At 56.6% G+C, this 13,306-nt stretch overlaps 1 protein-coding gene across 8 annotated transcripts in view, besides 2 other annotated features; it reads left to right on the forward strand.

Moving 5' to 3' along the window:
* Positions 1 to 13,306, forward strand: part of SORCS2 (sortilin related VPS10 domain containing receptor 2) — a 550,290-nt gene that overhangs the window by 246,292 nt on the left and 290,692 nt on the right. The window lies entirely within an intron of this gene.
* Positions 6,294 to 6,810: an enhancer, noted in NCBI's record as "H3K4me1 hESC enhancer chr4:7446850-7447366 (GRCh37/hg19 assembly coordinates)". NCBI's record gives its function as "activates a minimal SCP1, AML or CMV promoter by ChIP-STARR-seq in naive and primed H9 embryonic stem cells {active_cell/tissue: H9 hESC(naive and primed)}" and the evidence as "EXISTENCE:reporter gene assay evidence [ECO:0000049][PMID:30033119]".
* Positions 6,811 to 7,326: an enhancer, noted in NCBI's record as "H3K4me1 hESC enhancer chr4:7447367-7447882 (GRCh37/hg19 assembly coordinates)". NCBI's record gives its function as "activates a minimal SCP1, AML or CMV promoter by ChIP-STARR-seq in naive and primed H9 embryonic stem cells {active_cell/tissue: H9 hESC(naive and primed)}" and the evidence as "EXISTENCE:reporter gene assay evidence [ECO:0000049][PMID:30033119]".

A 13,306-nucleotide genomic window follows, 5' to 3' on the forward strand; every position in this document is an offset into this window, starting at 1 on the left:
CACCTACCCATCTGTCCCCACACATGTATATATTTGCACATGCTTTTTTCATATCATTCATTGTTTTTGATGCCTAAATTGTCCCAGATGTGATCTGTGGGAGTCCCCTCAGGCATCCTTCTTTGGCACTTCTGTACTTTCCAGCACAGGGCATGTTCCAGGCTCATCTTTTTTATTCCTTGAGCCAGCCCTGGAATCAGCCTGTTCTCCAGGGAACATGGTGTTTAGAAACCAAGATCTGGATATGAAATGTGCTCATTGCTCCTGTGCTGTCGTGCCTTTTAGGCCCTCTGAGTGAAAACCTTACCTCTTCCTGACATGGGGTGAAAGAGGAAGGAAGGAAGGAAGGAGTTTGTATATATATATATACAAACACACACGTGTGTATATGTAACATATTCATCCATCCATCTTCACAAGACTACGAGTTCATACTGATACTTCCAACACTCAGTGCAGTGTAACTCCCCTGCCCAACAGTGAGAGGCTTGGCTCCCATGATTTTTAACCTATTTACCCCTTACTGAACCCTAGAATATACCCAAGACATTTTAGAAACACCAATCCATAGCACTGTGAAATGCAAACCCTGCTAACTAGAGCTCTCTCTTGCTACACATTTCTTTTTATTCTGCTGAGATAAATTTCACCTACAGCTAAACACACACATCTTCACACACCTGCAGAACGCACACCCTAGTCAAGGGGCAGAATGGTCCTGAGTGCTCCTTCCCAGTTACTTGTCAATGAGAGCAAACACTTTTCTCCCACAGATTAATTTTGCCTGTTCTTGAACCTCGCATTGGTGGAGTTGAACAGGAGGGAAAGGATGTCCTCCGTCCCTGCCTCTTTCGCTTGATGTTATGAGATCCAGGCATGTTGTTCCCACAACTGTAGGCTGTTTCTTCACCTTGCTGGGCAGTGCTTCATTGTGTGGCTTTCTCACACTCTATTTATCCACCATGAGCTGGCATGGGGTGGTTTCCAGTTTGGGGTTATTCAAACATGGCTGCTCCAAACATCTTGGTGACGTCAGATGGTGTGCAGAATGTTTCTGTAGGGTGTGCACCTGTGGGGGCAGGTGGGTATGTGCTGAGCAGATTCCCCAGGACTTCTCCGAAGTGACCACAGCAGCTGCTGTCAACCACCCATGTTGCTGGTGCTGATTGCTGCCTGTGGCTCTGATTTCACCCCTTCAGAAAATGCAGAGAATGGTATCACAGACATTCATCCTCCACCCACACTTTAACAAATGCTACCATTGGCTGTATTTATTTTTTTATTGTAAACCCCATTTGTTTCAAAAAGCTACATGCAAGGTATTCACATTTTCTCCCCAAGTAAAGACGAGCCTGGCCACAATGGAATTAGGGAGCGGGGGAGGAGGCTGCGTTGCAGGTAGGACCCTGACCTGGAGTCTGGGACCGGGGAGGAGGGAACAAAGAGGGGAGCTCTCTCCCCAAATAATTGTTCTGGGGGGACAGAGTCTGCCTGCGGCTTGCTTCAAGGACAGCCATCTTTCAGAGAGTGTAAGGGAGGGTTTGATGCTGACCAAGGGAGAGCACGAATAGGAACAACATGCTTACCTCCAATTTCTGAGGCTTTGGCCCTTTCACCCCCATTTCACCATTGGCCCTTGTGGCCCTGCCATGCAGAAGGGAAGGGGTTACCTTGTGTACACAGTGCCACACGCTACCGTTCCTCTCTCTGAATGAGGAGGGGCAGGGTAACAGAGTTGCCTCCTTCTCCTGAAGCCCAGTGGGGCTTGCCCAGCCTGCTCTGGAACTTGGGGGCCTAGACAGCACCATCTTACCTGTCTCCCATCCCCTCTGCCTGGTCACCAACTGCTGCCACTTGCTCCCTGCCCACCCTCATGCTGCCTCTCCTCCCCTCTGCCCTTCCCAAGTCTCCTGGGGGACCCTCCTGTCCCTCTCTGGGGCCCAGCTTCATTGCCCGGCCACATGGGGCCTCGAGGGTGGGCATCACGGGTCACTCATTTCACGATCATTTTCCAAGCCCTGCTGGGAGCTGCGGGGTGAGGGCTGCTGGGTACTAGGGGCTCAATGGGGATGAAGACGGATGAGGAGTGGCTCTTTGCGGTGGAGAGACAGACCATGAATGAGTGAGCACTCAAATGGCAGGCAGAAGGGAGTTTCGTGGGGTGAGACCGTGGGGGAAGGTGGAGATTTGGGGAGAGGTGGTGCTGTCGGTCCCTGGGAAGCAGGTGTGAGCTCAGCACTGGGATGAAGTGGGTACCCAGGGGATAGCACCCCAAGAGGGGGACTCGGCAAGGGCGAAGGCCCCAGTGTGGGCACGAGCTGCCAACTGAGTAGCAGGGAGGGTCAGAGGGCAGGTGAAGAGTGAGGCTAGAAGGAGTTGTTGGCTGCTTCTGGGAAGGTGGAGGTGGCATTTCCCAAATACTGCCTTTGCAAAAGCTGGAAAGAGCCGCACCCCAGGTGAGGGGCAGCCTGAGGCCAGGGTCGGGGCTGCTTCCAGGTGAGCAGCAGTTGTGGGAAAGGCACTGCATACAGAGGCCTGCTTCTGCCTGGCAGAGCCGGGCAGTGAGTGGGGACAGCCTGATGAGCTGGGTGAGGGTGGCTGGAGGCTGAGTGGGATGCCCTGACTCATACCTGAGCTGAGTGTGGGTGCCGAGGGCTGGGCAGGGTGCAGGGGAGGCGCAGGCCGGCAGGAGAGGGAAGCGCCCTTGCCATAACCCCTTTCCACTCAGAGATTTGAGAAGCCAAGGAAGGGTAGAGCCTGGGAGCTACCCAGCCCAGATCATCATCCACCCCTTCCTCCAGCCCAGATCACCATCTACCCCCTCCCCTAGCCCAGATCACCCTCCACCTCCTGCCCCAGCCCAGGTTGTCATCCACCTCCTCCCCTAACCCAGATTACCCTCCACCCCCTCCCCCAGCCCAGATCACCCTCCACCCCCTCCCCCAGCCCAGATCACCCTCCACCCCCTCCCCCAGCCCAGATCACCCTCCACCCCCTCCCCCAGCCCAGATCACCCTCCACCCCCTCCCCCAGCCCAGATCACCCTCCACCCCCTCCCCCAGCCCAGATCACCCTCCACCCCCTCCCCCAGCCCAGATCACCCTCCACCCCCTCCCCCAGCCCAGATCACCCTCCACCCCCTCCCCCAGCCCAGATCACCCTCCACCTCCTCTCACAGCCCAGGTCACCATCCACCCCCTCCCCCAGCCCAGATCACCCTCCATCCCCTCCCCCAGCCCAGATCACCCTCCACCCCCTCCTTCAGCCCAGATCACCCTCCACCCCCTCCCCCAGCCCAGATCACCCTCCACCCCCTCCCCCAGCCCAGGTCGTCATCCACCTCCTCTCACAGCCCAGGTCACCATCCACCCCCTCCCCCAGCCCAGATCACCCTCCACCCCCTCCTTCAGCCCAGATCACCCTCCACCCCCTCCCCCAGCCCAGATCACCCTCCACCCCCTCCCTGAGCCCAGATCACCCTCCACCCCCTCCCCCATCCCAGATCACCCTCTACCCCCTCTCCCAGCCCAGGTCGTCATCCACCTCCTCTCACAGCCCAGGTCACCATCCACCCCCTCCCCGAGCCCAGATCACCCTCCACCCCCTCCCCCAGCCCAGATCACCCTCCATCCCCTCCCCCAGCCCAGATCACCCTCCACCCCCTCCCCCAGCCCAGATCACCCTCCACCCCCTCCCCCAGCCCAGATCACCCTCCACCCCCTCTCCCAGCCCAGGTCGTCATCCACCTCCTGTCACAGCCCAGGTCACCATCCACCCCCTCCCCCAGCCCAGATGACCCTCCACCCCCTCCCCCAGCTCTGCCCTGCCGCAGAGGTCAGCTCTGAGGCTGTGGTTTCTGCCCTGTTTCATGATATCAACAAAGCGGAGAGCAGCACCCCCAGCCCAGCCCCAGCACGTGGGCTTTCGCAGGTGCCCTGGAACTCATGTGAACAGTATGGAGGTTCCTCAGGCTGACAAAACAGTGTACCACAGACGGGGTGGCCGAAAACAACCGGAACTCCTTTTGCAGTTCTGGGGGTCTGACGTCCAAAATCAGAGTGTTGGCGGGGCCGTGCTCCCTCCGAAGGCTGCGGGGAGGCTCCTTCCTGCTTCCTCCCAGGTTCTGGTGGGGGCCAGCAATCTTCCCCGGGCCGGGGTTTGCAGCCGCCTTGCTCTAGCCTCTGCCTCTGTTGTGGCTTTCTTCTCTGTGTCCAAATTTCCTTCTTCCTATGAGAATACCAGTCATTGGATTTAGGGCCCATCTGAATTGAATATGACCTCATCTCAACTAATTACATCTGTAAAAACCCTAGCTCCAAATTATGTCAGATCACAGGTACCAGGGTTAGGACTTGAACATATCTTTTTTTGGGAGGAAGGGGGCACAGTTCCACCCTCCACTGATGGATTCTGGGCGCTGGTGACCTTGACCTTAAACTCAACTGTGGTTCAGATCCAGCCTTGGCCCTAAGAAGTCTGGAAGGGGAGGCCACCTGTGGTGCACAGCATCTTAGGGCGGGCACCCGGGTGTTTGTGGAGCACCTAGGACTCACCAGTCTCTGGCTGCTGCCTCTAAAGCCCTTCTGAGCGCACAGCCGCGAATGGAGCCTCAACCCCCTGAGATCACACAGGCCTGAGACGCAGGGAGTTTTGGGAGCCAGAACCCTGGTTCCTTAGTCCCTACAACCCGAAACCTTGAGAGACGCTGAAACTTCCAGCCACAGTGGCCCCAACTCCAGACATTTAGAAGCCGTGTCCTAAGGCTTAGCCTTATCATAAGGTGCAGAGACCCAGGGTCCACGGCATAAGGACCGGAGACCACAGAAACTTAGGTGTTGAGACTCAGGACTTTGGGGCCTTGAGGCCACACCTCCAGAGTCAGAAACCTTCTTTCCGAGGCCTCAGCACCTTGGCGTTAGAGGGAAAAGTACAGAATGCTGAACTGGCCAAGCATCTCCCATGTGGCCTGGCCTCCTCGTTCCTGAGTCTGTGGCTCCTCCCACGGCATCAGAAGGCCCATAGGTGGTTTCCAACAGGGGTCCTCCCCAATGTGGGCATGCCAGCCTCCACCTCCCTGGCCTGGCTGCCGCTGCTGGCCGATCTTAACACAATGGGCCCCACATGTCCACCTGACCCCAAAAGCTCCTTGAGCGAGTTGGGAGTGCCTCACCCACAGGTAAAGGGGCTGTCTTATCCCCACAGGTGAAGGTTGAGGGCTGGTGAAATAGGCAGAATCTCTCCTTCCCTGTTAGAAGAGGGGAAATAGGCAGATCCTAAAAGCAAACACTTGTACCATGTTTATTTGGCTTTATTTTCATACGCGTATTCAGCAATTATTTACTAAGAGCCTACTATGTGCTGAGTGCTATTCTAGGTCCTGGGAATATTTGAGTTAACAAAACAGACAGAAACCCTGTACTCTTGGAACTTATATTCTAGCGGAGGAAGCAGAAATTAAACAACACATAATAAGTGTTACAATATGGAGGAAAGTGATGAGTGAGGTGGAGAGGTGGAGACATTGTATAGGTTGTAAGGGGCCTGGGGACAGGAGCATGTGTGTTCAGGGGAGGCCTCTGTGATTCAACAAAACATTTGAGTGTAAACTTGGAGGAGTTGAGAGAGGTCAGTGTCTGAGTGTGCACCAAGCAGCAAGGCCAGCCTGTGCAAAGGTCCTGTGGCAGCTGGGTGCAGGAAGAACAGGGGCCAGGAGACTTGAGCGGAGTGATGGGGGCAGGAGCAGAAGGCGCCACGGTCAGAGGGATCATGTAGGTGGACTCTGCTTCTTCCTCTGAGGGTAGTGGGGAGCCATAGCAGGGTTTTGAGCAGAGGGCTGACATGATCCCATGGTGCTTCTAAAAGGATGGATCTGGGGCCAGGGTGGAAGCAGGGAGCATGCCGAGGAGGAGTCAGAGGCGACTGTGGTGGTCTAGAGGAGAAGCCACAGGGCCTCAGGTGGCGACCGTAGGTGACAGGCTGCAGATTCAGCATCTGCTTGAAGTTAGAGCCAATAAACAGGATTTGTAGTTGGTTTGAATGTGGCATGTGCGAGAAAGAGAAGAGTCAGGAACACACCGAACGTTTGGCCTGGGCCACTTGGACGATGAACCGGAGGAGGCGACCCAGGCAGGCAGACCTGTTGGGCTGTGGTTGCAACACCCAGGTGGCCTGATCCAGGGCGGGGAGCAGAGGGAGGGCGGGGAGGGATATAGGACTGGACCATTGCTGCGGGTGGCAAGAGGGAGGGATTGGGGGAGGCCCAGACTTGCAAGATGGGCTGGCTGTCTCTTCTCCCAGGAGGTCAGGACTGGGTTGTGGGAGGCAGATGGAGACCTCAGGGCCAACCTGGTGAGGGTGAGAGTCTCTGGGACATGCCTGCAGAGGCACCCTTGCAACAGATACTTGGGACTTGGCAGTAAGGGCCAGACCTGAGGAGCAAGTACAGAAGTCACAGGCTCTGGCTGGTGTTTGAGGTTCTGAGGTTGGGGACATCCAGAGGGAAAGCCGGGGGAGAGGAGCCAGGGTTGATGGGGGAGAGCCGGGTCTGGAGGGGGCTGCTGGATTCACAGCCCAAGATGTGGGAGGGCATCCTGGGAAGAGCATGAGGCCTCCTGGAGGGAGGAATTTGGGTGATTTTGAATCACAGCTGCCCTCCATGAGTGGAAGAAGGCCTGGGGCGCGGCAGCAGGTCCTGTGGATGGAGCGGGGCCGAGGGGAAGCACCAGGGCTGGACTCCTTGGCTTCTGTTCAGAAGCTGGGCGCTGAAGGCAGAACAGGGCGGGATGGAGGCCAGGATGGGGGCTGCAGGGAGGCCAGAGGAGGAGGCAAGGGCCTAAACGCTTCTCTAAGTGGCATTGCTCAGGATGTTGTGGCCCTGGGCCAGTCACTCACCTGTCAGGCTGCCCTTTTGTCAGGGTTGAGGCAGACCCAACCCTCCTGGGTTGCTGGGGGCTGGATACGTCGGGAAGTACAGGACTCCAGAGAGGCCCAGGGATGGCCAGCTGCTTTTCCTGGTCAGAGCTGTCATCCCTGGGGCCACAGGCAGCATCCCCACTGGCCCTGAGAGTAGAGGGATGGGGGACAGGTGCTCACCTGCCCAGGCCCACCCCTCACACCTGCACAGTTCCTCAGGCCAGAGCCAAATGCCTCGAAGCTGCTTTCTTTCCTTTGTCTTTTCTTTTTTTTCCTTCCTTCTCTCCCTCTTTCATTCCTTTCCTTTCATTTCTTCCCCCTTCCTTCCTTCCTCCCTGTCTTCTCTTCTTTTCCCTTCCCTTTTGGTTGAGCTTAAAGCCAATGAAAGAGGTCAGACTGGGGGTTGGAGGGATGGGGATAAAGGAAGGAGGTAGGGAGGGGAGGGGAGGGGAGGGAAGAAAAGAACCTTATTTCCCAGCAGAGCTGAGCATCAGTAAGCCTCTGATGTCGCACAGTGAGTTGGAGGGACACAAGCACTCGGCCCTATGCCCCACCCACCCCAGGAGCTGTGGGTGGCTTTCAGCACCGCCCCTGCCATGGCACCTCGCAGTGGCGTCCGCAGCATCAGGGGCTACAGGTAGCTTCACTAGGGATTGGGGCTTCAATATATGAATTTTAGGGGACACAATTCTACCCATAGGGTCATCATTGAGTATTTGTGAGTGTTGGGGTACAAGCTGGGGTGCTGTAGGATCGTTCCAATCAACTCAGATGCCTGGGACACTGCTGAGGGGCTGCCTCTGCAGCTGGCCTTTCCTGAGCCCTCGGGAGGGACTGAGCCTGCTCCTTTGTCCCCAGCATGACCCTGAGCAGCCTTGTTGGGGTGATGAGGGGTGGAATCCAGGCCTGGAGTTGGGGCTTGAGTGCAGGGGCCATGCTTCCTTTGAGCCCCTGTTCCTGGCATACAAGGGGGTGCACCCTAGTTTTAATGCCAGCTGTGCCAGGCATCCCTTAGCAGTGGCCACCAGGGGCAATTGTACGTGCAGTGTCGTGGGGAAACCCCGGGACATGGAGATAGGACCTGTGTCCTTCCTGGAGAAACCACTAAGCCATTGTGAATGTCAAGTCTGCAGGGTTAGCCCCATTTCCCATTGCAGAAACTGAGGCTCACCCTAGGTCATGGCAGCCTGCTGCAGGACTAAGGTTTCCTTCACCTTCAGCCGGGCTGTCTCTGAGCCTGGCTCACCTCCTCACCCCACTGTGCTGAGATACATCCGGGGCTGGCTCTCCCAGCACAGAGAAGAAGCCATGTCACCTTTACTGACAAGTACTTTTCTTATAGAAGCAGGTCCCAAAAGGACCCCGTGTGCTCAGTTCTGGGGGCTGGAAGTCCTAGATCAAGGTATGGGCAGAGTTGGTTCCTTCCGAGGCTGTGAAAGCAGTTGCATCCTCCTTGTAACTCCCTGCAGGGAGGTTACTGGGTTGCTGAGGGGAAGGGTGCCTAGGCCCTGGTGTCTGAGAGTGGATCATGTCATCCTGAGCATCCCCTGCCTGTGTGAGCTGACTTCTGCCTCCGTGCCTTGCCTTGTGTGTAAAGAGAGGATCCTACTAGTGCCTGACAAGGGTCACAAGTTAGAACATCCGGCTAAGTCCCTGGCACATGGTAAACCCTCAATATAGTGTCCATTTTCCAGATGGGAACACTGAGGCTTAGGGAAGTTCAGAGCCAGGGTTGACCTGAATTTACACTTCCGATGAAGCCAGTATGTGCACTTGGATCATAGTAGATCCATCATTTCTATTTGGATTTTTCTTCTATTCTGGAAAGGGTTCTGTTTTGCAGGGAGAGATAGATATGCAACTCACAAATAAGTCCATCCATGCATTGGGACTGTGGACCTCAAAACTTGGCTGCCAGAGCACGGGGGTCCTCCAGGCTCAGCAGCCATGGGGACAGGCTCGGGGCAGGACCCCGAGGAGGCTGCTGCTCTTGGAAGACGGAGCCGGGCATTTCGAAACTGGAATTATGAAACAAACTACGACCCAGGATGGAACGGAGCCTGTGCATCCCAGGATGTCCCACAGATGGGAGCATTCTGCATGTGCGTTTTGGGTTACTGAGAGAAGTGAAACACTGCAGATACGGCAGAGGTGTTTCTCCCCTCCCTCCGCCCCTAGATGTGGCCTTCACACGCAGGCTGATGCGCTCCCTTCCCATCCACGCCTGCTCGGTTTTGCCACATATGCCGCTGTGCTGCCGGCCTTGAATGTGTATGAGCGGCTCGTGCTGGGGTCAGCGGAGGCTCGCTCTTCTTCACCCTGTGTTACGTCCAGGAAACACATCCCTGTACGTAGGCGAGAGTCCACTGTGGGAAGAACCAGCAGTGTGGCTGCTTTCTTTCTGAGGCACAGTTGTGTTTCGTGCCCCCCACTGTCCTGCTGCTCCGGGCCCTGTGGCGTGCAAGCAAGCAGGGAGAGTGGCCGGAGTGTGGCGCCTGGAGGTGGAACTGCGGCGCAGGGCAAGGGGCATCTCCCACGTCACCCAGTGTGGCCAAGGCGTGCTTAGGGCCCTGCGCCGGCCAGGCACAGAGAGAGATGCTGGACTCTAGGTTCCTGTAGTCCAAGGAAGGGTTTTGCCTGCCTGTCTTCCTCCCTTCCTTCCTCTTCATTCCCTCCCTCCTTCATTCCTTCTCTTCTCCCCTCCCTCGTCTCCTTCCCTCCCTCTCTCCCTTCCTTCTTCCATGTCTCCCTTCCTTTCCTTTCCATCTCCCTCCCTCCCTTCCTCTCTTCCTTCCTTCCTTCCTCCCTCCCTTTCTCTACCCTCCCTTGCTTCCTTCCTCTCCTTTCCCTCTCTTCCTCTATCCCTTCCTTCCTTCCTTCCTTCCTTCCTTATTTCTTGCCTGCCTTCCTGACTTCCTCCGTCCCTGCCTTCCTCCTTCCCTTCCTTCCTCTCTCTGCCTTCCTCTCCCCTCCCTTCTTCCTCCCTCCCTTCCGTACTTCCTCTCCCCTCCCTCCCTCTTTTCCTTTCTCTCCCCTCCATCCCGCCCTCCCTCCCTTCCTCTTTTCCCTCCCTCCCTCCCTCCCTTTCTCTCTTTTCCCTCTCTTCCTCCCTCCCTCCCTCCCTTCCTCCCTCTCTTCCTCCCTCCCTCCCTCCCTCCCTCCCTCCCTCCCTGCCTCCCTCCCTCCCTCCCTCCCTCCCTCTTTTCCCTCTCTCCCTCCCTTCCTGTCTTTTCCCTCTCTCCCTCCCTTCCTCTTTTCCCTCTCTTCCTCCCTCCCTCCCTCCCTTCCTCCCTCTCTTCCTCCCTCCCTCCCTCCCTCCCTCCCTCCCTTCCTCCCTCCCTCCCTCCCTTCCTCCCTCCCTTCCTCCCTCCCTTCCTCCCTCCCTCCCTCCCTCCCTTCCTCTTTTCCCTCTCTCCCTCCCTTCCTCTTTTCCCTCTCTTCCTCCCTCCCTCCCTCCCTCCCTTCCTCCCTCTCTTCCTCCCTCCCTCCCTCCCTCCCTCCCTCCCTCCCTCCCTCCCTCCCTCCCTCCCTTCCTCCCTCCCTTCCTCCCTCCCTTCCTCCCCTTTCTTCCCTTCTCTCTTCCTTCCCTTCTCCCTTCCTTCTTCCCTCCTTTCCTTCCTTCCTTTCTCTCCCCTCCCTCCCTCCCTCCCAGCACCTTCACAATAGCCCAGGATGGAACGTACAGACTGACCAGGAAACAAACCCTTGCTTTTCTTCCCACCTATGGGTGAATTTGGGCAAGTTACCACGTGACGTTGTGCCTCTGGTCTCCCTGCCTGTGAGATGGGGATGACACTTCCTGCCTGACAGGGCTTCTGCGACCCAGCACCAGGTTCAGGATGCACCTGGCCCTTGGTAGATGCTGGGGGCTGCCATGTGTTTGTTCATGGATTCACGTTGGGTGGGCTTGGCTCTGTGCAAGGTCCTCCGGAGCCCCCACATCCTCCTCTTCCATGTTGGCCCTGGAGGGAAGCGGCTTCTCAGAAGACAGAGTCTGTGCTGTCTCCAGCCATCTTTGGCCTCGGAAATCGCTCCAGTGTTCCCGGAATCCAATGGCATCCCCACTAGCCAGACATTTCTTCATGCCTAGGGTTCCCAGGAGCCACCCCGCCCTCCCAGAGAGGTTCATGAGGAAGGTACTTGGGGCTGGCGGGAGAGGTGGGAGCTGGGGAGACATCTGGAAAATTCTCGATCCTTGAAATTAGTTAAACAAATAATGTTTGCTTTCCTGCTTACCCTCCAACAACCTGAAGAATGGGGCCCCTGGGACACGTGGGGCTGGGCGTTTTCCTGTGTCTTGTCAGGGTTTCTCCAGAAAGGAGGGTCCCAGGATGGATGTGGGCAAGGCCCTTGGTGCCTTCGGGACCTGGGCTCTGCAGACTGCATGTGGCTTCAGGCAGGCAGCCCCCAGTGCCTCAGCCTCAGTGTCCTCATCTGTGTCTGGGGTACTTTCTGGCAGGGTCTTTAAGGACCCCCTGTCTGTGACTCATGAGCTCTGCCTGGTGGTGACAGGCTCTCTGGAGTGACACGGTGTGTGACCCTCTAGGCTGTGGGAGGAATTAAAGGAGCCAGGGAAATCATCACTTGGCTGCCAAGCTGGAGGGGGCAGCTGCAGCCCCTACACCTGCTCTCCAGCCCTTTCTTGGGCCCCCAGGTCCTCCAGAAGTTGTCAACCATCACGGTTGAGTGTCAGGCGAGGCCCCATCATCTTTGTGTCTGCTCAGCAGCTTCTGGGTAACTGTGACCCACATGCCAATGCCCCCATTCCAGGTCAGGCTCCCAACCTTGCCCCGCAGGACTCACCACAGCTGTAGGTGCTGTGTGTAAGGATGCATCCGTGCCTTCTCTCACACACATATGTTCCCCAGCTGTCCAGGGCTCTCCTGCCCTGAGCTCCAGCACCTGTATGAGGCCTGGCACATGGGACATGTACATCCGCAGCAGACTGAATGAATCTGAGTGAGTGAATGAGGGAGTGAGTGCATGAATGAGTGACTGAATGAATGAGTGAGAGAGTGAGTGAGTAAATGAGAGAGTGAATGAGGGAATGAATGAATGAGGGAAGGAATGAGGAATGAGTGTGTGAATGAGTGAGTGAATGAGTGAATGGATGGGAGAGTGAGTGAACGCATGAGTGACTGAGTGGGTGAATGAGTGAGGGAGTGAATGAATGAATGAGGAAGTGAGGGAATGAGTGAGTAAATGAGTGAGTGGATGGGAGAGTGAGTGAATGCATGAGTGACTGAGTGGGTGAATGAGGGAGTGAATGAATGAGGAAGTGAGGGAATGAGTGAGTGAATGAGTGAGTGAATAAGTGAATGGATGGGAGAGTGAGTGAATGCATGAGTGACTGAGTGAGTGAATGAGTGAGTGAATGAACGAATGAGTGAGTGAGGGAGTGAAAGAATGAGTGAGTGAATCAGCAAGCAAGTGAATAAATGCGTGAATGAATGCATGATGGAGTGAGTGAGTGAATGAATGAATAAATGAGTAAGTGAATGAATGAAGTGGCCTGGGGCCTGGGCCTAGGTCTTCAGCAGCAGCAGCAGCAGCGGCAGTGGGGCCTGGTCTCTGGGAGCCCCTGCCACACCCCAGCTGGGAGCCCCGAGGCCAAGCCACTGCCCTCCCTTGGCCTCAGTTTCCCATCAAGGGATGAGAAATGGTTTCCAGATTCCACCCTCTTAGCAGCTGGCAGATATCCACGAGGCACACCTCTTTGTCAGCCCAGTGCTGGGTGCTGGGAATACCCAGCTCTCAGACCTGTCCCTACTCCTGAAGAGTGTTCAGTGGTGACATGGGGGACCAGCCTTCCACACACCTGACATGCCCCCACTGGGCCATTCACGTGCTGTGGGCACACAGGGCAGGGCAAGCCTTAGTGGCATGCAGTCTGCCCATGGGCACAGGTGGGGTTGAGACCCTCAACTGCCACCATAGGGATTCTGGGCTTTGCCACTGGGGTGGTGGGGGGGCTATAGAAGTGTTCAGAGCAGGAGTGTGCCAGGCTGGTTTTGTGAGTCCCAGACCCCACTGGTGCAGGATTGCAGAGGAGTGAGGGCCAGACTGAAGCGGGGAGCTCAGAGAGGATGCTGAAGCCCCTCCAGGCTTCTCAGGGCCAAGGCTGGGTCTGAACATTCCCTGACACCTGGCAGGCAGCACCTTCCTCCTCCCAGGACAGGAGCGAGATCCCCTGAGGTGCTTGCGCGAGTGCACATTTGGCCAAGGCAGGAAGTGCCCTTCACAGTGTGACCCAGGCCCTATTCTGTGCCTTCTCTCCCCAGCTGCCCGGCTCCTCCTGCTCTGCACAGCCTTCCCCTCACCACCATGAATGTTCCTCCTTGTGCCACACACCCGATACCACTGACCCACAGCTCCCACTCTGCCTTCCAGATGG

The sequence above is a fragment of the Homo sapiens genome, chromosome 4 (assembly GCF_000001405.40).
Source record: "Homo sapiens chromosome 4, GRCh38.p14 Primary Assembly".
NCBI classification, from domain to species: Eukaryota; Metazoa; Chordata; class Mammalia; order Primates; family Hominidae; genus Homo; species Homo sapiens.